The sequence below is a fragment of the Homo sapiens genome, chromosome 15, assembly GCF_000001405.40.
Source record: "Homo sapiens chromosome 15, GRCh38.p14 Primary Assembly".
Taxonomy (NCBI): Eukaryota; Metazoa; Chordata; class Mammalia; order Primates; family Hominidae; genus Homo; species Homo sapiens.
Genome location: NC_000015.10, coordinates 96,170,242 through 96,193,507, shown reverse-complemented (window position 1 = coordinate 96,193,507; position 23,266 = coordinate 96,170,242). Strand labels below are relative to the sequence as shown.

Below are 23,266 nucleotides of genomic sequence, written 5' to 3'. Positions count from 1 at the left end.
AACTGAATTAGGCAATGGTTTCCTAGATGGCACTAAAAGCAAAAGCAACAATAGAAAAAAAATAGGTATATTTGACTTTATTTTTATTTTTAATTTTTTTTTTGAGACAGGGTCTTACTCTGTCAACCAGACTGGACTGCAGTGGCACGATTATAGCTCACTGCAGCCTCAACCTCCTGGGCTCAAGTAATCCTCCCACCTCAGCCTCTTCATTAGCTGGGACCACAGGTGTGCCACCAGTCCTGGCTAATTATTTTATTTTATTTTGTAGAGGTGAAGTCTCACTTTGTTGCTCAGGCTAGTTTCAAACTCCTGGCCTGAAGTGATCTGGCCACCTCTGCCTCACAAAATGCTAGGATTACAGGAATGAGCCACTGCGCCTGGCCTAATTTGACTTTATTAAGCATAACAAAAAAAGCTGCTGTGCTTCAGAACACCACCAAAAGGTAAAAACAGATTGGCATGTGGTTTATGCCTGTAATCCCAACACTTAGGTAGGCTGAGGCAGGCTGATTGCTTGAGCCCAGGAGTTGGAGACCATGGGCAACATGGCGAAACGCCCTCTCTGCAAAAAAATACAAAAAATTAACTGGGCATGGTGGTGTGCGCCTGTTGTCCCAGTTACCTGGTATGCTGAGGTTGGAGGATCACCTGAGGCTGCAGTGAGCTGTGATCACACCATGCATTTCAGCCTGGGTGACAGAGTGAGAACCTAGTTCGAAAAAAAAAAAAAAAAGTAAAAACACAATCCACTGAACATGACAGAATATTTTCAAATCATATATCTAAGAAGAGACTTGTATAAAGAATATACAAAGTGCTCTTACAACTGAATAATAGGCCGGGCGCGGTGGCTCATGCCTGTAATCCCAGCACTTTGAGAGGCCGAGGCGGGCCGATCACCTGAGGTTGGGAGTTTGAGACCAGCCTGATCATCATGGAAAAACCCCACTTCTACTAAAAATACAAAATTAGCCGGGCATGGTGGCACATGAGGTTGTGGTGAGCTGAGATCGTGCCATTGCACTCCAGCCTGGGCAACAAGAGCAAAACTCCATCTCAAAAAAAAAAAAAAAAAAAAAAACTGAATAATAAAAAGACAAATATGTAATTAAAAATGGGCAAAGGATTTGAATAAGCATTTTTTTTCTGAAGAAGATATACAAATGGGCATAAATACATGAAAAGATGGTTTATATCATTAGTCTCTAGGAAAATGCAAATCAAAACCACAATGAGATTCGTGACACACCCATTAGAATGGCTAAAATTTAAAAAGACAGACAATAACAAGTGTTGGTGAGCATGCAGAGAAATTGGAACCCTCATACTTTATTGGTGGAATGGTGAAATGCTGCAACCTCTATAGAAAACAGTTTTGCAGTTTCTCAAAATGTTAAAGATAGAATTACCATATGATCTAGTAATTCCATGATTAAGTATAAATCCAGAAGACTTGAAAACATATGTCCACACACAAACTTCTTCAAGAATGTTCTTAGCTGCATTCCTTATAATAGCCAAAAAGTGGAAGTAGCCCAAATGTTCATCAACTGATTATTTGAAACACAAAAATGCAATATATCCATACAATGGATATTATCTGGTCATAAAAATGAATGAAGTACAGTATTAATGCACGCTACAACACAGATGAACCTTGAAAGTGTTATGCTGGGCGAAAGACGCCAGACACCAAAACCCCTGCATTGTATGATTCCATTTGTATGAAATGTCTAATGCAAGCAAGTTCATAGAGACAGAAGGTAGATTAGTGGTTGTCAGGAGCAAGGAGAGGTTAGAATAGAGAGTGATTGCTAATGGACATGGGATTTATTTTTGAGGTGTTGAAAATGTTCTGAAATTAGATAGTGGTGATGTTTATATAACTGTGGATTTACTAAAAACTGCTGAATTGTACACTTTAAGAGGACACATTTTATGGTATGTAAATTATATCTCAATAATGCTGTTATAAAATCTAGTAATATGCTTTGTAGGAAAATGTGTATAAAAATAAACATCTTGGTAGATAAGTTTTTATAAGGTAAAAAAACAGAGGCAGGCGTTCAGATTTTCCTGCTAATATCTCATTTTCTCTTGTCTGTTTTAGATGAGTGTAAGGCCATTATCATGGACTTTTTCCCCAGCTGCAGGTAGGTGTACCCATTTGACTGAATTCTGGCCTATAGGGTAAGAACGAAATGTCTTGTGAAACTGCTCTGTTGTACCCTTGAAAGAAAATTGCTGGCTGTCTATGTCCTCCTTCCCATTTTAGGCAGGCTGAAGTGTGCAGATGAGGGGTTGAGCCATTGTTTTTTTGTTTTTGTTTTTGTTTTTTTGAGACAGGGTCTCACTCTGACTCCCCAGGCTGGCATGCAGTGGCATGTTTGTCTTTCTTTCTAAAACAAATTATTCTTTTACAAAATTAAATAATTTAAAATTATTTTTAATGCTAAAAATATTGTGCATGCAATGGTGTACATTCCCCTCCCAGGCTCAAGCAATCCTCCCACCTCAGCCTCCCAAAATGATAGGATTACAGGAATGAGCCAGTGTGCCTGGCTGCCATCTTTGAACTGGTTGTTAAGAGCAATGCCGTTGGGAGCTGGGATGCTGGGCCACTTGATGAGCAGAGCCTACAGAATCACTCTAATGCCAAAGAGAAATACATTCTCTACCAGATATTGGCCATTGTTATTTTTGCCACTTTTAAAGCAGTCAAACCAATCTTCTCACTTATAGAATAACATCTTTGGGGTCATGATATATATTTTTTAAGATTTATTGTTCCTTCCCATGAATCTATGTTCAGATGGTTCCAAATGAAAAACTCTGAGGGTATCAGGACACATACGACCAGTCCCGATCTTCTGGACGTTTAAAGTAGGAGCTGTCTGCATAAATAGCAAATAGAAAACACAATTTGAAACACAAGAGCAGAGTTTCAAATGGACTTTTGTGGAAGTGTAGTTCAAGTTGAGGGGAACAAAAGAGGACTGGAGGAAGATGTAGAAGAGTAAGGTGACCTGAGCCACCCCTTGGATGGTTAGGTGGAGAGCTTCAGCAGGTGGAAGGGTGTGGCCAGGGGGGAACAGAAGAGAGGTGAGTGCAGTAGACATTAGCCAAGGTCAGAATATAGCAGAGTGACCAAAGGGGAAAATGGTTGGAGATTATGCTGAGCTCTTCAAGTTGACTGGTGCTGCAGATAATTGGATTGAAGCTCAGGACAGATGTCCAAGTGAGAAATTTAAGTTTGGGAATCATCTGCAGAGATGGTGGTTGAAGAATTGGGAAGGGCTAAAACTTCAAAATCATATGGCTTGTTCTATCATCAGGATTAGCCTTCTCTAATTCCCTGTGTGCTCTTTGTCTTTCTAAAACAAATTATTCATTTAAAAATTAATTTTACGGTGGCTCACACCTGTAATCCCAGCACTTTGGGAGGCCGAGGTGGGCAGATCATGAGGTCAAGAGACTGAGACCATCCTGGCCAACATGATGAAACCCAGTCAATACTTAAAAAAATTAATTTTAAATTATTTTTAATGTTAATAATTTTTTAAAAAGGAAAACTGGTAAAAATTTCACTTATATGTATTAATTACAAAACAACTCTACCTTATCAGGATACAAAAACACTGTTAAGAAAATATAAATTGGATGGCCAGGCATGGTGGCTAACACCTATAATCCTAGCAATTTGGGAGGCTGAGGTGGGAGAATTGCTTGAGCACAGGAATTCAAGACCAGCCTGGGTAACATAACAGGACTCTATTTCTACAAAAATCCAAAAATTAGCTGGGCAAGGTGGCACACACCTGTGGTCCCAGTTGCTCCAGAGGCTGAGATGGGAGGATTGCTTGAGCCTGGGGGGGTGGGGTGGGGTGGAGGGTCAAGGCAGCAGTGAGCCATGCTCATACCAGTGCACTCAGCCTGGGTGACAGAACTGGACCCTGTCTCAAAAAATAATACTTATAAATTGGAATAAGAAATTATGTTGCCTTTACACACCTGCAAATGGTTTTCCTAAGGAGTTAGTTGAAAAATTATACTTTGCTTTTCTCCAGGAATATTTACTTATAATTTTCCCTGTGCCAATTTGGCACCATAATGTGAATACAATACAATACAATACAATACAATACAATACAATACAATACAATACAATACAATACAATACAATACAATACGGTACGGTACGGTACGGTACGGTACGGTACAATACAATACAGTATAGTACAGTACAGTACAGTACAGTACAGTACAATACAATACAGTGCAATACAATACAGTACAGTACAATACAATACAATACAATATGTTAATACATATCATTTTAAAGGTAAATTAGTTATTATCAAATTGTTTTTATTTTTAAACAATTTTAGAGTTACAGAGATATTCAAAATAGTACAGAGAAGTCCTATACACTTTTCACCCAGCTTGCCCTTAAGTTAACTTCTTACCCACAAGCGTGATTCTGAGAAATTAACTACAATTAAGCATAATACTATTAACTAAACTCCAGACTTTATCAGATTTCACCAGTTTTTCTTCTAATTGTTTGTGTGTGTGTGTGTGTGTGTGTGTGTGTGTTCCAGGATCCAGTCACCGATCTAAAATTGCTGGTAGTCTTTAAGTTTTAAAATCCTCCTTAGTCATTTAAAAACATGGTAGTACAGAACATTCGCTCTAGTCCATCTGAAGCAAAGGAGACTGGAAGGGGAACTATGAACTGCCTGTTTGAGACCAGGATTAGTTATGAATAAAACCCTAGACCTGTCAAGTGGATGGTTGTGGGAATCAAACATGAAAGCACTCTGAAAATTATCAAGTATTTCACTCCAGTAAGATCATTTATTCATTCATCAATTTTTCAGAAACTATTTCCTCAGCACCAGTCATATCTTAGGCACCATGTTCGGCAGGGGAATCACACAAAAAAGATGCCGGTTCTTGCTTGCCGGTAATTCTAGCCATGGAAAGCTGATCATTAAGTATTTATTGAATGTCTACCACTGGCCCTACGATACCAATTATTACCTTTCCCTTAGAGTGCACTCAATGACTGTTCCATTACAGGCTTGAAAGAGTTAATGTGCTGCAAATGCCTCTGTGCCTGGGGAGTTCTGCACCACCTCTGCCCAGGCTGCAGAGGCATTAGGCTCCAAGTATGTATTTTCTTTTCCCTTCTGTTTATGTCTCTGTTTTCTGTAAAGTCTGCTAAACCGCAGCAGTATCTTCCAAGTTCTCTGACAATGTTATAAATTTCATTAAGAAGATGAAGCCTTCTGGGGCAATTAACTCCAAAAGTGGTACAAAGCCATAGCAAGGAGATACTGGCCTGTAGTACTTAGCACTCAGCTCTGAAATGGAGATAAGCCCTATCAACCCGGGGTTGTGTTTAATGTTCACTGCAGCTTCCATACCACCGCTACAAGCTAGCGGTCACCGTGTTAACACTCCCCAATATCTATTACAATTAGTTTTTGATTAAGAGGCCTAACATGGCTTTTGAAGCTTTTTATGTTGTGTCAAATGGCTAGTGATGGAGTGAGATGCACAGACACCTCCCGGTAACAAAGCATATTGTAAAAGGTTTCGAGTGAACTATTTTATCATCCTAATGGAAACCAGATGACTCGAACTCCCCCCTTAATTTCAACTATTTACTGAAGAGTCCTTGTTTTGAATTACTGAAAGATTTATTCCTATATGACTACCTCATGCATTAAGAATCGCTAATAACAGAGCCATTTGGAATTTGGGAAAGCTTTTAAAAATGACTGAAGCAATGTTCACAGAGGATTTATTTTATTTTATTTTATTATTTTATTTTTCATTTGATTTTTAAAGAGCAAATGATTTTGCCCTTTCCTAGTATTTAATTATTCCTTTAGTTATTGTTTATGACGCCTTTCTCTGTTGAGTTATACTGTCTCTGCCAGGGTTTCAGTCAGTAGTCTTGGCCTGCTGTCTAAGAAAGAGGTCACTGGTATCTTGTGAGGAGAGAAAACTTTGTTCAGTTATGTAAGATATAATTCTTTGTGAACTGAAACTATATGCTATTTTTGTAAAGGTCCATTTGATGAAACAAAGTATAATTATTTTAAAATCCCTTTATAGATTAAAAAGCTGAAGATCTGAATTGTTTGACATTTTATTACTCTTAACATGAACAGTCACATGTAAATGTAATGAAAGTGGTATAGAAATATGACTTAACTTGTGAGTGTGAATCGTAAGAGCTTTTTACGGCCGGGCGCAGTGGCTCACGCCTGTAATCCCAGCACTTTGGGGGGCCGAGGCAGGCGGATCACGAGGTCAGGAGATTGAGACCATCCTGGCTAACACGGTGAAACCCTGTCTCTACTAAAAATACAGAAAAAATTAGCCAGGGGTGGTGGTGGGCACCTGTAGTCACAGCTACTTGGGAGGCTGAGGCAGGAGAATGGCGTGAACCCGGGTGGCAGAGATTGCAGTGAGCCAAGATCGCGCCACTGCACTCCAGCCTGGGTGACAGAGCGAGACTCCATCTCAAAAAAAAAAAAAAAAAAGAGCTTTTTACTAACATACTTTTTTACTGACTCTCTGGCCTCATTCATACATTTCCCTTTGAACCTCAGTTTCCTCATCTGTGATCTGGGGGTTGAATAGACGTGCCCTGAGTTTTTGTTCATCTCCGGATGTTATTGACTCTGTGACATCAGATGTGCTGGAGACTGTTAGTGCCTGGAGCGTAAAGGTTTTATCACGGGGACACAGTATGGTGTATTGGGTTCAAACCCTGGCTCTGCCTGTTACTGACCTGTCATTCTTTGGCGTAATACTAACTTATTAATGCTTAGAGTCCTTCCATGCAAAATAAGGACAATGTTAGCTATTTCACAGGTGACATGAAATAACCTAGGAAATAAAATCAGATATATAGGGTGCCTGATAAATGGTAGCCTCTCAATCATTTCCGTTTCCCCCTTTTTGCCTTCACGTTTTGTCCTGTTTAATGGTGCCTTGTACAACTGGAATGAATGAAATGACCACGATGTTTGTCATGGACCTCCTTATATTACAAACACTTAGTGAGCACTTGCTATGTGCCAATGTTGTGCTAGGTCTGGGGATCCTAAGACTAGAGGCAGAGGCTTGCTCATACAAAGATTGGGTCATAGACAGTAGGCAGAGGGTTTCAATAGAGCCAGACAGTCAGAAATGAGTAGAGATGGCAGCTGTCAGGAGGGCCGCCCACTCAGTGCAGATTGCAGTTGGGGCTCACTCTCGTATATGATCACATACATCATTTCAGGTAGTCTTCTCAACCACCCCCTCGGCCTAGCAAGGCAGGTGTTATCAATCTCCCCTTTGTAGATTAAAAAGCTGAAGATCTGAATTGTTTGATATTTTATTACTCTTATTAATAAGATCCATTCAAAATAAAACTTGCTGTCACAAATGTAATTGCAGCGAACATGTGCAAAGATTTAGACCAAGTAAAAAAAGCTGTAGTAGATTTACACATTCATATTTCACTTATCAGAGTCTGTTTTCTAAGCATTATCGCTTGGAGCCCCATTCATTTCATTCATTTATGCATTCGTCCAGCATTAATACACTGTTTTCCAAGCACAGGGCTAGGTGGTGGGGGTTTGAAGATGAAAGCGGTAGCCTCTGCGTTCAGCAAGGAATTTGCAGTCCTGTGAGGTGATAGGCACTTGCACCCATGATTATAGTGAGAAGTAGCTGCTGGCCCAGAGGTTGACAGAGGTATTTGAGGGAACACAAGGGAAAGGCCCCCTGAGGTGGCTTAGATGAGGCCTTCTGGAAGAGGGGAGGGGACAATTGAACTTAGCTGAATTTTATAGGATTCAAAAGGGACAAGCGAAAGTAAGGGTGACATGGAGATACTCGAGGTGAAGAGAGTCTGGGAGACAGGAGAAAGCATGGCTCTCTGGGGCTGTTGTCAGTGGTGACAAGGTACCGTGTGGTGGGGATGTGGCTGTGGAGAAGTGGAGAGGCACCAGGTTATGAGGACATTTGGCCAACACTCGTCCTTCAGCAAGAAACAAGTTCCCATATACACTTTGTAGTTCACATCTGTTGAAGTCTACCCACATTTAACTAGTAAACAAGCCTTGTATCTTATTTCTTTCCATTTCCTCTTGAACCCATCTCGTTTGCTGCCTGTGGCTAGTCTGGGTTGATAGTCCACCTTAGCGGTTGGTTAGAGGCTGCTATTAGTATGACCAGCCTTAAATAATTTGATTTTCAGGTTGGGTAAGTCACAGTATCTCCTGTGGGCTTGATAGTCAAGCTACACATTTATTTAAAAATTGGTTTCTTCACATTATATTTGAAAGCAGTGCTACTCATTCATCTGTAAACCATTAGGCTACATGTATAACAGTATCTCATCTGACTTTTATCTACGGAGTTCCGAGGATCCGTTTCAGGTCCTTGCGGATATTCCAGTTCTCTATGAAGTCTATTGTCTTATTTTATTAGTTTTCTCTTTAGGACAATCCTATAGTGAACTGTGTATTTAAAGGAGAAGAGAAACCGTTGAATAAATTGTAGAGATACACTCAGACTTTCCTCCTCATTGGCAAATTTTCGGGCGTTCTTTTTTGTTTGTTTATTTATTTGTTTTTAATTTAAACAGGAGATTTAAACTGGCCTGGTGTGGCCTGCAGTAGATAACGTATTGTTTGGCCCATGAGTTATAAATCTAGAGATTTCACACAAAATATGGCTTCTTTAAAAAATCAAAAGATATGATGCTGTGGCTCTTAGGGGCTCGCTGTGGGGCTAAGGCACATTCACTCCCAGGTTCCTCAGGGTGCCTGGGGCACCCACTTCACTCACCAGGATTCCCTGCCACATCCCCAACACCTTTGCCTTCCTGTCTACAGCTTGGACTTGACCTTTTCCCATTAAAAAACTGGGTGAATGCCAATCAGCAGGTACAAAATGTAACCCTCTTAGCGCAGAAGTTTTAAAACAAGGCATGGACTTAATAACTCAATGAGGAAGCAAATACTTTTACAGAGGCTTTGCAGGTTAGTGATAAAATAAATTTCCTGAGTGATTTTACCCATTGCCATGGAAGGAAAACAAGGGAACCACAAATGTTAGACTAAGTACAATTTACCAGATCAATGATCGTCCAGAAAATTCCCTCCATCCTTGCACTTACTTCCTATCATGACTGTCTCAGAACTGTTTTTTGGTGAGAATATGAGAAATGTAAAAATGAAGAAGTAATTTTCTCACTCTCTAACAATCAGAAATCACCACTGGGGTTTTCTTATATTTTTCGGGGGGTTCCTCTGGCACCCACTTTCCTGAGCTTGGTTGGAAGTGCTAGCTTTTCCTGGTGTTAATTATTAATGTGACCTGTTTATGTACCAGTTATCCGGCTAACCATTAATATCTGTTTACTCATTGATGACCTTTGCAATTGCGTACCTAGCTCCTGGCTGTAAATGTCAACTTTTTGTTTTTATATGCTAAATGTTTTCTCTATATCTACTGAGTACCTGAAACAACTCCTTAACAAGGTAAAATAATATCAAGCCACACAAATATAACCTTTATGAATATGAAAAGGAAGACAAGTTCCTTTTCAAGCTATTTTTTCTGAGGGCTCAGACAAGCTATTTTTTCTGAGGCAACAGAACTTTCCTGTTTGGAATGAGCAAGAGATGTACACAAATGGCAAATGCGAAGGATCCCTGAGGGGGAAAAAAAAAAAAAAACAATTGGCAAGAAAAAATGTTCTTCTGCTCTCTGCTTAGTTTGGGGAGGCGGGGTCGGGGGCAGGGGCAGGGACAAGTAAAGGACTCTGACCTAATCCTGGGGAATGAAACCCAATTTTACTTTTTCAAAATGTCAGTGTTAAGCACTTGCACATTCAAGCAGGCCTGCAGGATTGATCTCCAGCTACCCAGTCAGTCCACATTAACCCCAACACGAGGAAGACATTTCCATTCCACACAATGGTAATGGCTAAAGCTGAGATTAAGCAATGCAGCTGGATTAGGGCTGCAACTGGTGACCTTAATTTTACCCATCATTGGAGCCTGTGTACATTTGACTCTTCTTAATTGCATTTGCCTAATTTAAACAGACAATAGTAGCCCAAGACATTTTTTCACCCCCAAATAATAAAAAAGGAAGAAGAGCGTTTTCCTAGAAATTAACCACAGGACAGTGTTGTTATGTCTGCTGCTTGGGTAACAAAAGCAGCTGTTCTCTTTCTCTTGCCCCATTAACATACCAGCACTGGGGAGGACCCATTGAGATATTATCCACCTTTGCATAACAATACAACTTTAAAGTCTCATAGTGCTTCTTTAGCGAAATATTTTAAAATATTAATATCATCCCAGCTGTAAATAACCATGATGGAATTCATAGAGATTAAAGTTTTGAGATCCGCCTTAGGTGTACCTTCACATTTTCTTGTTCATTGAGTCCTAACTTCAGTAAAATTAGTTTTTTTAGATAGAGCTCTGAACACTTGCTGTGACTGTCACTTCATGTTGAATTTATCATATAGAATTTAAGGCGGAAGACTGGGGAGCAATCTGTCACAAACGATTGTATTCGTAATCGTTGAGGGTTGGGATGGGGGCTGGGGAGAAGATAAGCATCCTAGGGCCGCTCTTGTCGCCTGCACCATTCATTCGGCTCCAGTGGCATCGGTGAGGCGATTTGTGTAGGCTGAGTGTGTAATGTGTTTCCTTCAAGCCTGCCTTGATGGTTCTGTCTATGCTGTACTTCATGCACATAAATGCCTCTCAGGTTTTTTCAGCTAAGTGATAACTCAGCTTGTCTTTCCCGGTGAATTCGGTAATAAATAGATATATGGGCTAGACGTGGGGTGTTCTGACTTAGTTAGATCCTCTCGTGTCCTGGAATAGACAAGTGGACTCAATCATTGTGCTAGCAACAAGATACATACTTTCCAGGGAAGCACGGGGTTTTATGCTAAGTTTACAATGACATGAACTGAAAAGCAATTCAAAGTCAAGGTTAGTATGACAACCTCACATCCGTCTAGGGCATCTAGAGGGGAAAACGGTCAAAATGCAACATTATTTTCTTTGAAAACTGAACATCTGTTAGGGGATTTTGAAATGATAGAGAAGTAGAACAGTTGAGTTGCTTCTTGAACTCATTTAATGTGTACATTTTACTCTGGGAAGTAAGTATTTTCCCAAGACTGCTATTCAGCGCTGCATTTTTTTCCTCTGATGTGCCAGGCGTTTCTTCACAACCTCTGGATGTTGCAAGTCAAGTACTCTTAATAGCTTGCAGATCTATATCTGGGTATCAAAATCACAGGCTTTTGAACTTTGCCAATCAGAATCCCACATTACATTTCCTTTTTATGTCACATGCTCAATGAGCTTAATTGACACATGGAAAATTTCCTGTATACATCTTACTCAAGGCAACACTGGAAATTTGGGTTTATGGAATGCGTCGGCAGCCCTGAACGCTCTTGGCTTCTTCGCTGCTGGCTTGGTCTGTGGCCCAGAATGATGCAAGTTAGGCGTAGCTCAGAACTCTCAAATTAGCTGCTGGGGCGGTGTTAGGAGTGTGTTCAGGCTCAAGAGCCATTTTTGAGGGCTGGAAGAGGGAGTGGGGAGGCTCTGGCCCACTCCCCACTGTGAGGCAGCGGAGGTTACCGTTGTTTGTGAAGACTCAGGCCGTTAACTTCTGCAGGAAATCTGCCCTCATTCCCAGCCTGCAGTATGGCTAGGGGCCTCATCCTGGGCCCCTGTGGGATACTGGGATTATTCTGTCTGTAGCACTTATCATATTACACTAAAGATCTGCTCATGGTTCTCTCCTCCAACTAGACGGGGGAGGCATTGAGAGACAGGACTCAGCACCCAGCACTGTGTCTGACCTGCAGAGATAGTAAAGGCAGCCTAGGTGCTGGGTAGGCTCTAAGACTAAGCAGGACTGGACATGGGGATGCCAATGATAATAACAGCTCCTAATTATGGAACAGGTACTCAGTGATCATAAATGCTAGCCTAGGTGATTCCCTACACCCATTTTACAGATGAGAAAGGTAAATAAGATGTAGCAAGGTCAGGTAGTGTTCACAGGGTAAATTAGGAAGCCAGATAACTGAAAGGGGAACTGGGAAATCCCAGGCTATTCCTTATGCTCTGAACATACACACCTCTGATTTATCTGAAGAAAGATAATACTTCCATGATCAAAATACAATGGAATAGCACTTACAGAGCTAGTGAAGCCTAGAAAGAGTCCAGGCCTTGCTGCAGTTTTCTTCCAGTGGCACTCAGAGGGGTTTGTGTTTTCAGTTTCTGTATTATTTTTTGGCCTATGCAGTATTTCGTTCTTAGCATTTTGCAATAAATTGGTGGTCTCTCAATATTTCTATGTATCTGGTTTTACCATGTCCCAGTTGTGTGATCTTGGAAAATTTACTTCTGTGTTCCTCTGTTTCCTCTGCTGTGAATGTGGGGATGGAGGGTTGTCTTCAGGAGTGACCATTCTAATATTTGCCAAGATCCTAGAATGGTGCTTAGCACGTTCTGAGTGGGCAGCAAACATTAGATGTTCTGATTTACGGTTCTAGCTGTCCCTGTCTCTTCTCTCTTCTGCTTGCCACTGTCCCCACCTACCTGAGCTTCCCTCTTGTGGCTGTGCTGCCCACAAGCGTGTTGGGTGCTGGGAACTTTGGGTGGCGCATTTGCTGCATCTGTCAGCCTGGGATTAGGGGCCAGTGGTCCACGCTCATCCTCTCTGAGAGGCAGCCGCTTCTGCAGGGGCTGCCATGGATTGTGGCTTGTCTGTAAGTGGCCTGCTTCTCTGGCCTTCGCCCCCTTTCCATCTATCAAAATCTCTCTCTGTCTCCCTGCCTCTCTCTCTCCCTCCTCTCAAAGGCCTCGAGCTTCTCCCCTCTTCCTCCCTGCTGGCATTATCTCCTCCCACAGCTTGAGCTTTGGGGAAACAAAAGCCAGGTGTCTTGGCTTTGGACTTTTAAAACAAACCTCCCTCGAGGCAGGGGCACAGAGAGGCCTGACTTCCTTTGTAGAGCAGAGGGCAAACGCTGAGATAAAAACACAAATTAATATATCAGTAAATTATCCTGCCCCACTGACATACTCTCTAATCAGAAAGACAGTGAAAACACGGGAGGATGCCAGGAAAGAATCCAGGGGAGGAAGGAGGAGCCACACAGCCAGCAGCAGCCCAAGGAGAGCAGCCCCTCGGGAGGCTGCAACGGCTGAACTTTTCCCCTGACATTTTACTGGATGTGCAGGGAGCACCAGCTTGCACCACCGTGGGGTGACAGGAAGAGAGAGACAACAGTGAGAAATGGAGAATGGAGGAACCAAGGAAGAAAACCGAGGCAGGGGCAAAGAGGCAGGGCTAATAACCATGTGGGCTAAGATCTCACTCCTTTGGACTCATAATCATCACAGTGACCTTCCTTAGTGGCCTCACTCACTACAGAAGTCACCCCATTTTAAAGATGAGGGGCTGGGCATGGTGGCTCACACCTGTAATCTCAGAGGCGGGTGGATCACCTGAGGTCGGGAGTTTGAGACCAGCCTGACCAACATGGAGAAACCTCATCCCTACTAAAAATACAAAATTAGCCGGGCCTGGTGGCAGGCGCCTGTAATCCCAGCTACTCAGGAGGCTGAGGCAAGAGAATTGCTTGAACCTGGGAGGCGGAGGTTGCAGTGAGTGGAGATTGTGCCATTGCAATCCAGCCTGGGCAACGAGAGTGAAACTCTGTCTCGAAAAAAAAAAAAAAAAGAAAAGAAGAAAAAGGTAAGGAAACAGGAAGTCCAGGATAAGTGGACTTTCCCAATTTCCTGCACCTGCTAAATGATGGAGTCAGGTTTTCAGCCAGAATGTTGGAAGATGGTGATCATGCAGTTAACCACTTTGCTATTAATACAGGCTCCCTCTTGACAAGTCTGTGATCTGATCAAACTGGAGAACTCAGTTGGTGTACGTAAACAGTAAACAAAAACCTGGTAGAACCAGAAGAAATTAAGACTATAAAAGAGAATGAGCCAGAAGTGGTGGTGTGAGCCTGTAGTCTCAGCTACTTGGGAAGCTTAGGCAGGAGGATCTCTTGAGCCCAGGAGGTCGAGACTGCAGTGAACACGCCACTGCACTCCAGCCTGGGTGACAAAATGAGACCCCATCTCTAGGAAAGTAAAGAAAGAGAATGAAGCTCTACTCCCAGGACCTCAAATATGAATAAAATTTTCAAGTGAAAGAATAAAATTGTCACATCCACCACGCGCTGAAGAGCTTGCACAAACATGGCCTCATTGCCTCCACTCAGCCCCCTGGGATAAATCAGGGATTATTGCCCTTTTATAGATGTGGAAACTGAGGTTCAAAAAAATTAAGTGACTGAGCCAAGTAAATAAGAGGCAGAGTTTAAGATGGAACACAGTTCTACTGACTCAAAATCCAATGTTGATGACATGGAGGACAGTATTTGTCAGAGGGGCTCATAGCCCTGTACTCAAGGGCTGCCAGGAAAGAAGAATAAACTAATATCCCTTCTCCCCATGCAAGCTGGTGGGTTCACTTAGGAACAATGCATGTTAAAGGTAAACTAGTGGGGTTGCACAGATGGGAAGAGAAGAGGGATTTTCAGGTGGCTTTCAGCTGATGCATTTGATTTGGCAGGAGAGGAGAGGTAGTTGGGATTCAAGATATGAAGGAAATACGCAGGAAGGGAGCAAGAGTAGCAAAAATTGCAAAGCTGTGAGATAGAGAGGAAATGCAGGAAGGATTTCAAAGCAGAGTATAGGCAAAGAATGCCTGGCATACAATCTGGAGAGGAAAAAGATGGGGAAAGGAAGTAGGAAGTGAAAACCGAGGGAAGTGGAAAAGAAAGTGAACATGTGGATGGTTTGGAAGCTGTCCTCAAAAAGTAGAAATGTGGCCTGGAATCTATACAACACAAACGAAAGGGAATACAATGTTTGGGGCAGGAGAGGAAACACCTGCTTAAGAAGGGTATTTGAAAAGTCAGAGCCACACCCAGACCAGAAGATTCGGGCAGACTGATGGACATCATTATGATGAGAAAAAAAAAATATCTGTAAGTTTCAGCCAAAATAAAAGAAAAAATGTGGAGTGAGGAAAGGAAGAACAACCACAAAACCAGTGTTCTTTTTAGAACTTGCTAGAATCACAATAGAAATATTGAAGCACTATTAGACCGGTATTTTCTAAACATATCTGAGGATAGCACCTCCTCTTATTTTTAATTTTTACTTTTTTTAATTTTTTGAGATACAGTCTTGCTCTGTCACCCAGGCTGGAGTGCAGTGGCACGATCACAGCTCACTGCAGTCTCGACCTCCTGGGCTCAAGTGATCCTCTCACCTCAGCTCCCTGACTAGCTGGGATCACAGGCGCATGCCACCACACCCAACTGATTTTTTTGGTTTTTAGTAGAGAGGGGGTCTCACTATCCTGCCAAGGCTGGTCTAGAACTCCTGGGCTCAGGCAATCCTCCTGCCTCAGCCTCTCAAAGTGTTGGGATTACAGGTGTGAGTCACCACTCCCAGTCCTCTTTTTTATTTTTAAAAAACCTTCTTTAATATCTTGTGGAACTATAATTTTAGGAACATAGTTTATAAAATGTTAACTTGGTAGCATTAGGGTGGACTTTTCCACCCCTGAATTCCATCCTCCCAAATTGTAGTCCTTTTTGAGTTTTGAATGATGGCTGATTACTCTTCTGATTCTTGGTGCTTTCACCATGCCTGCCTATATGCAACCTCTGTTAGGGTTATGAGCTGGAAACCCAGGCTTGTTAGAATTTTGCATAAATAAGTGTCATAGGATTTTGAGCATTGGCTTTAGAGAGTCTTCCATGAGCAAATATATGAGCTTGGCACCCTGAAGCTTTTGCAGCTATTTTGACTGCCCACAGGATTTTTCTTGCTTACTTACTGGTTTCTTAGCTTCCATTCAGAAGGCAGAACTTTCCAGCTAATTGACCTCCAAATAGTTGAAGCGTGATTGTATTATTGCTACTAATAATATTGGCATTGCATAAAAGCAACAGAACAAGTCTGCAGATTATACACTGCAGAGGCCCTTTAAAGAAACAGTTAATCCAGAGATTAGGCTGCATATTTTGAGGACTTTTTCAAATTTTTGTCAGGCACACACTCTCATCTGATGCTTGCAACAGTGTTGAGCATATTGTTTGTGAAGTGGTAGTGAACCTTAGTATGAGAAATACATGACCACCTACTGGTGGGGTTACAAAGGCAGAAATTCAGCTATAATCAAACAAACAAATGCATTATTCTTTCTACACATTCATGAGACAAGAGCGTAAACTCACTTGTGGAATTTACAGTTTTCCACAAGCGGATTTGGCGGAGGCATCTGACTGGGGATGTTTCTATGTCTTTCACTGTATGCATCTCTTATCATAAAATTTAAACAAAGAAATGAAAGTTGGCCACTTGCCATGGAATTAGATTCCATCATAGAATAAATTCTCATCACTAGTCCTAACGGTGATACCCAAGATACCTTTTTGGATACCTTGAAGGTAGGATACTTCAGGGTCCAATCAGATACATCAAAGGAAAATAAATGCTAACATAAAAATGGCCAAAGGAAGGGAAATAGTGATGTCGCTTTGTGCAACTTTTAGAGTAGTTTGTTTCATGCCAGACATTACTTTTATCCTTTCTGCCCCATTTATTATAAAAATTTTACTTTGAAAATGTTATTTTAGAAGGAAATTTTGTTGTCACAAGACTTAAACAGAGGAGGTGAAAGAATTAGATAGTGAACATCCAGGTATCCATCAACCACTTTCGACAATGAACACTTTACTTCTCTTGCTTTTTCATATCTCTTGCCATCTGTCCCTCCCTCCACCCAATCATCCAACCGTCTTGATTTTCTGATGCATTTCAAATGAGTTGCAGGCCTTGATACTGTTACCACTAAACCTTTCAGTATGCAGATCATTAACTAGAATTCAATATTTATTTACAAGGTTTGTTTTTGAGGTAGATACAGTATAATGTACAAACTATGTACATTTTGGTGGATTTTGGCAAATACACACAACTGTGTAACCCAAACAACTCTCAAGATCTGGGATGTTTCTAGCATCCCAGATTGTTCTCTCATGCCCATCCCACCAATCCTTGCCCCATTTTCCCAAAGACAACCATTATTCTGATATATAATTTTTCACCCTAGATTAGTTTTACCCATTTTAGGATTTCCTGTAGATACAATCACGCAGTGAGAAAAAGATGTGCAGGGCTTTTTCACTCAGAATAGTGGTTTGGAGATTCATTATGTTGTTGTGTGTATCCACTGTAGTTTGTTCCTTTTTATTGTTGAGTAGTATTCCATTGTAGCCATATACCACTGAGGAGAATTTTTAGAGAGAGAGAATATGCACCAAAGAATGCCAGAGAAGAGTTTCCGGGATAATGAGATGGTGGTGGTTGGGGGGACCTGAGGTATTTTACTATAAAAAAGGGCACTTTTAGGAAAGGACAGGAGAACTACCTTCTACTATTTAAGGCAAGAATCAGCAAACATTCTCTGCAATGGGCCAGATAGTAAATATTTTAGGCTTTACTGGGCCATGTGGTCTTTTTTCAAGTACTTAATTCCGACTTATAGTAAAGTAAAAGCAGCCACAGACAATATGTAAGTGAAGTGTGATTGTGTTCCAATAAGACTTCATTTATGGACACTGAGATTTAAATGTCATGTGATTTTCATGTGTCACAAAATATTATTCTTCTTTTGATATTTTTTCCAACCATTTGAAAACTTGAAATCCATTCTTAGCTCATGGCCCACATAAAAACAGATGGTGGGCCAGATTTGGCCTACGAGCCATAGTTTGTCAATCTTTGATAAAAAAGCACTGTCAAATGGAAGGAGGAATAATTATTCTGTTTAGAACTAGTGGGCAATATGAAGACTAAAGGAGGCAGCTTCTGCTCAGAAAACTGAGTAATTAAAGTAGTGTTGAAATGGACTCTAATTCCCTACTTTGTCTCTGTCCCTTGCCCCTATTGGTAGCATAGAATTAGCAGGACAGGCTACAGGGCTAGTCTGTTTAGTGCAATTGTCCAGCTCTTCTCAGTCTATCTGTGTGACCTCTGGCAAGTTAGTGAACTCTTTTCTGTTTCCATTGATTCATCTATAAAATAAGAGCAATAATAGATCCTACCTCCTAGAGGCATTTTCAAGATTCAATAAGTTGAGTGTCTATGAAGTTCTAGGAACAGTGCTGATTCACAGTCAGTACTACTCAATATACTTAGGACAGTGTCTGGCACACAGTAAGTATGAAATATGTGTTCATTATTATCATTACTGTTGTTATTGCTTTAGTCATTGGGAAGTTGGATAGGCATGTGCGAGAATTTTGTTGAAGGAATTCCTACTTTTCATAGTAGGCTGGACTAATAGATGCTTAAGTTGCTTTCCTGTCCTAATCATCAGCATTCTCTTCAATTTAGTGCCGGATACTTTGACCCTGAGGCTCAACTGTTGTTGAAATCTGAGAAGAAATAATATAACATTCTAGTCATTAATATTAGCATAGCCTACATAATAAGGTAAAAGTACAGTTGGGCCTCCATATTCCTGGGTTCCACATCTGCAGCTTTGAGCAACCACAGATTAAAAATAATTGTAAAAAAAAAAAAGAAGTAATAATACAACAATAAAAGTAATACAAATAAAAATGCAGTATAACCATTTACGTAGCACTCACATTATATTAGGTATTGTAAGTAATCTAGAGATGATTTAAAGTATACAGGAGGGTATGCGTAGGTTATATGCAAATACTATACCATCTTATATAAGGCACTTGAGCATCTGCAGATTTTGGTATTGAAGGGGGTTCTGGAACCAATCTCCTACAGATACAGAGCAATGGCTGTGTATTTTGTTTCTGCTTGATCTCTCCTTACGCTGGATCTTGGACCTAACTCTCAGTAGATCTGATTAATTATAAGGCCTCATGTGGATGCTGACTAGTTGTAATGCTACTTTAATTTTTTCTCCATGTGAGAAAGTGAGAGGAGTAGGGATCTTTGCTTTGTAAAGGGAAATGTGTCAAAGCATTAAGCAAGCATTAATTTTTCCTCAGAGCTTTATTCACATATTGGACGATGCTGAATAACCAGAGAGTTGTGCGATTATGCACAACATTATTAATGCAATTATGTCTGGATGTCCTGTGATGTTGTGGGACTGGTGCTCCAAGCCCATTATGATTGCTGTTGCCTGTTGAGAACAGGGGAATCCAAATAGAGTTGACTGTGGCAGATCTCCATTTGCAACCCCTCATCCCCCAGTTATAACCCTTATACTAGATTGTTGTCTTTGTTTACTTGGTCTCTGAAATTTATTTTCCCAAGCCTGATTATGTATCGTCTTTTTCTCTGTTAGCTGGCTGGAATGATGGCCCCTGTTTCTAGGTGTGGTAAGCACGATATAAAATCACAAAATGGTACTAACAGAGACCTGTGTGATTATTTATGTCAACATTTTCATTTTCCACATGAGGAAACCAAGGCACAGATAAGAGAAACTTCATGCTTCCAGTCCAGTGCTGTTTGTATTATGCCAGATTCATCTTCGACTCTAAGCAGGATCGGATGTGGGGTGTGTTGTTGAAAGTGGCAGGAGAGCCAGATGGAGGCAAGCCCCACCTTCATGCCTACAATGTAGAGTTTTGGCATTATTTCCAAATAAATATATATAATAACTGGAATACTACTCTCTGTTATATTGAACACTCTCAGAAAACATTATAAATATCAAATGTTAAAGCCTAATTTATTAAAAAGTCCTGTTAGGGGATGTCTTTATTATTTCACATATTGGAATCTCAAATTGTGGCATTGGTCTCAGCCTTTCTGTAACTCACAAAAGCTCTACTGATGAGAAAGTGATACCATAGTATTTACATGGGTGCTTAAACATTTAGACATCCATGTGAACAGACGATTCCAGGAAGAATTGCTGGTAGGACACAGAGCAACATCAAGGCAGGCCTTGACTCATCCTAGATGATAAGTTAAAAAAAAAAAGGTCAACATGGACGTGAAGAAAGAACAATAAAAGGGAAGAAATGCTAGATAGTGAAAAGGGAGAAAAGAAGAAAAGAAAGGAGGTAGTGTACCCTGGCAGTTCCCAGGAAGTTAAGGTGGCAGGGGAAATGCAAAGCTCTCTGATGGGGATGAGGCTCCTAGTCTTTTGACAAAAATAGAAATGGGGGCTTTCACCGTTAACCCCCACATCACTTAATAAAGCCTGTTCAATAGTCTCATGTGTTTTTTGAAGCATAAAGGATTTGAGTTGACTCTTACTATTTTCTAGCTTGACTCAAAGATGGTTTACAGCACAGGAAGTTCCAAGGTTTCACATAAACAATGTCATGAGAGTTATTAATTTTTGGAGTTAAGATTATTGCCTCCTAACTGACTTTCTGAACTTTTTGGATTTAGAAACTACTGCTTTGAAGGCAAATATTTGCTTTCCATATTAAAAAAACCACTTTTTAGAGTATGTAAAATGACACACTAACATGAACTAAATTCATAATGAAGCCAAATTCTTTTTAAAAATATTAAATCTATAAAATTAGAAAACCATTTCACCCTTTTGTGTAAAATACCTATGCTAATGCCTTGCTCACTCGTTTTTTAAAAAATCAATTTTAAGGAGAATAAAGAATTCTGCTGCAAAAACAAGTTGAAAGTCTAAAACTCGTTTATTGCGGTAGAGGCTCCAAGATCACACACGTCCATTAGAGGTATTCAGTGCAGGGTCACTGGAGGGTCGGCAAGAGACAGCCAATTAGATGTCTGTTTTTCCTTTCAAAGTCCTGTCTGTTTCCTTCACTCTCTTCAAAACACCCTAAGTAGACATATATATCATGAAGTCAAAGCGAAAAAAAAGAAAAAAGAAAAGAAAAAAGAAAGACAAAAAGAAAGCCTTAGAACAGTGGGAGTTTTATTATCCAATAGTCATATGCATTTTAAATACCCATCATTATCAAGAGGAAAAACGAAGCCTGGTGTCTGGTAAGAAGATGTGCTACAAAGTAGAATACTATTCAATTTTGTCTAAACTCAGGCAGGAAAAGGCTACTGAATGCAATCCTTGGTTTCCCACCGTGGAAGATAGATGACTTCAAAGTTGTAGCAAAAGTATTTGTTTAGAGTAGGGAGGATCAAGACTTTCTGGTATTTACAGTGAAAAAACAACAACAACCCAGCCTATCTTTTAGAAAAGGAATGCATGGTTAAATTGGCTCAGCTTGTCCTTAGCAACCTGAACTCGGAGGCCACATTTTTTCCTCTCTAAGAAGCAAGTGGGAACTTGAAAAGTATGTAGCATGTCGTGAAAAGGGAGCAGTGAACTTTGCCCAGGTCTGCAGCCAGCACTGAAATCTGAACCTTCTGTAGTCCCTGGACTGGTGTCCCACCTCGCTACCCCCAACCTTCCTTTTTAATCCCTCTGCATAGAGCGCCTTAGCAAACTACCTTGGCCTGGAAGCAGAGCAGTTGTGACTTCTGAGGGAAAACCTGTTCTCTAAGTATTTCTGATGCCATTAAGAAGGAAATGCTAATGACAACAAAAAACCCCACTAAACCCCAGCTTTATAATTATGATTATGATATTCAACCTTATTTTTTATAATATGTATGGAGAAAATATAGAAAGATTTTGTTCTGTTGCATTAATTTTCAAGATAGCTTGAGAAGTTTTGGAGGTTCCCTATGTAGAGATTGTCACTGCTTGGAAAGATTTTTCTTACCTTGTTGGCGGGGAATATCATCAAAAGCCCTGCATTTAGGCGGCTTGCAGTATGAATCGTTTCACAACAGTAAGTTACTTGGTAACTTGAGCTGCACTCGTTCCTGAAATTCTTTCACCTAATTGAAGATTAACTTGATTCCCCGGATTGTTGATGGTGGTTGACAGTGTGGGGCTGGGGTGGGTGGAAATAGATTATTCAACTCACAAAGAAGTAGGTGTACCCTAAGTGACTGTTCCATTACTGATCATGATTGTTTGCCTTCCTAAGTATTCATCAAACTCGGTGCTGCAGGATCGTGTGGGGAGGGAGGAGAGTGTACCGCCAGTGTTCAGAAAGCAGGTGAACCTCAGAGAAACTTCAATATTTTGTAAAGAGACTTATATGTAGTAATGGCTACTCCAGAATCCATTAACGCCCAAACAAGCCGACTCAAGGGTTCTGGCTTTCTCAAGTGGCTAATGTAAACAATATGAAAGTCAATAGTCGGGGACATTCCAAGATAGTATTAACACGATTGATTTATTGATGGTTGCACAATGGGAGGTTATCTTTTGTTAATTGACTCGGTAAATAAGCTCCCAGGCGTCAGGGCATAGGGGGAAAAGCAACCAGTGGAGGAAAAGGTGAGGCACCTGGATTATAATTTTTTTCAACTCCCAGCCTGTCTTGGTAAATTCCATACCACTTCCTCTGCCAACCTCAAACACAGTTTAGCAATTTTAATTCCGGCCAAAACTCTGCATCCATGTTTCATGAGGGGAAGACTCAAGGGTGGTATGTTCCTATCAAACAATCCAACTTTCTTTCTCTTTCTTTCTTTCTCTTTCTTTCTCTCTCTCTCTCTCTCTCTCTCTCTTTCCTTCCTTCCTTCCTTCCTTCCTTCCTTCCTTCCTTCCTTCCTTCCTTCCTTCCTTCTCTCTTTTAAAAACTTTTACTTCAGGAAGATTAAAGCAATAGTAGTTGAGAGAGAGACAGAGAGAGAGAGAATTCACCGACTTGGCTTATTTATTAATACAAATCTAGAAATGGTAGGGAAGATGCATGTATGATCTTTTTTTTTTCTTTTTCTTTTTTTTTTAGATGGAGTCTTGCTCTTGTTGCCCAGGCTGGAGTGCAATGGCACAATCTCTGCTCACTGCAACCTCTGCCTCCCAGGTTCAAGAGATTCTCCTGCCTCACCGCCCCCCAAGTACCTGGGATTACAGGCGCCTGCCACCACACCCAGCTAATTTTTGTATTTTTTGTAGAGACGAGGTTCGCCATGTTGGCCAGGCTGGTCTCGAACTCCTGACCTCAGGCGACCCACCCACCTCGGCCTCCCAAAGTGCTGGGATTGCAGGCATGAGCCACTGTGCCCGGCCTTCACGTGTGATCTTTTAACCTCCAAGAAATGATTGAACC

The 23,266-nt window shown here is 40.9% G+C and overlaps 3 long non-coding RNA genes across 6 annotated transcripts in view, besides 2 other annotated features; 1 reads left to right on the top strand and 2 right to left on the bottom strand.

Moving 5' to 3' along the window:
• LOC112268156 (uncharacterized) overlaps nt 1-23,266 on the bottom strand; it is a 236,909-nt gene that overhangs the window by 33,836 nt on the left and 179,807 nt on the right. The gene's annotated exons all lie outside the window — the stretch shown is intronic.
• The window catches only part of NR2F2-AS1 (NR2F2 antisense RNA 1), a 200,002-nt gene that overhangs the window by 133,854 nt on the left and 42,882 nt on the right, over nt 1-23,266 (top strand). Inside the window, exon 3 of the long non-coding RNA NR_125738.1 lies at nt 2,114-2,156. This is a non-coding gene — a long non-coding RNA (NR2F2 antisense RNA 1). The remainder of the gene's footprint in view (nt 1-2,113; nt 2,157-23,266) is intronic.
• Nucleotides 9,959-10,460: an enhancer, noted in NCBI's record as "NANOG hESC enhancer chr15:96726277-96726778 (GRCh37/hg19 assembly coordinates)". NCBI's record gives its function as "activates a minimal SCP1, AML or CMV promoter by ChIP-STARR-seq in naive H9 embryonic stem cells {active_cell/tissue: H9 hESC(naive)}" and the evidence as "EXISTENCE:reporter gene assay evidence [ECO:0000049][PMID:30033119]".
• Nucleotides 12,767-13,267: an enhancer, noted in NCBI's record as "H3K4me1 hESC enhancer chr15:96723470-96723970 (GRCh37/hg19 assembly coordinates)". NCBI's record gives its function as "activates a minimal SCP1, AML or CMV promoter by ChIP-STARR-seq in naive H9 embryonic stem cells {active_cell/tissue: H9 hESC(naive)}" and the evidence as "EXISTENCE:reporter gene assay evidence [ECO:0000049][PMID:30033119]".
• On the bottom strand, nt 19,173-21,925 carry LOC105370997 (uncharacterized). 4 transcript variants are annotated; one of them, NR_188332.1, is made up of 3 exons: nt 21,863-21,925; nt 20,007-20,104; nt 19,173-19,756 (listed from the first exon to the last, which is right to left on the bottom strand). It is a non-coding gene; the product is annotated as an uncharacterized LOC105370997 (long non-coding RNA). The 4 variants fall into 4 exon arrangements; NR_188331.1 differs by lacking the exon at nt 20,007-20,104 and having other exon boundaries at nt 19,173-19,320; nt 19,561-19,756; NR_188330.1 differs by lacking the exon at nt 20,007-20,104.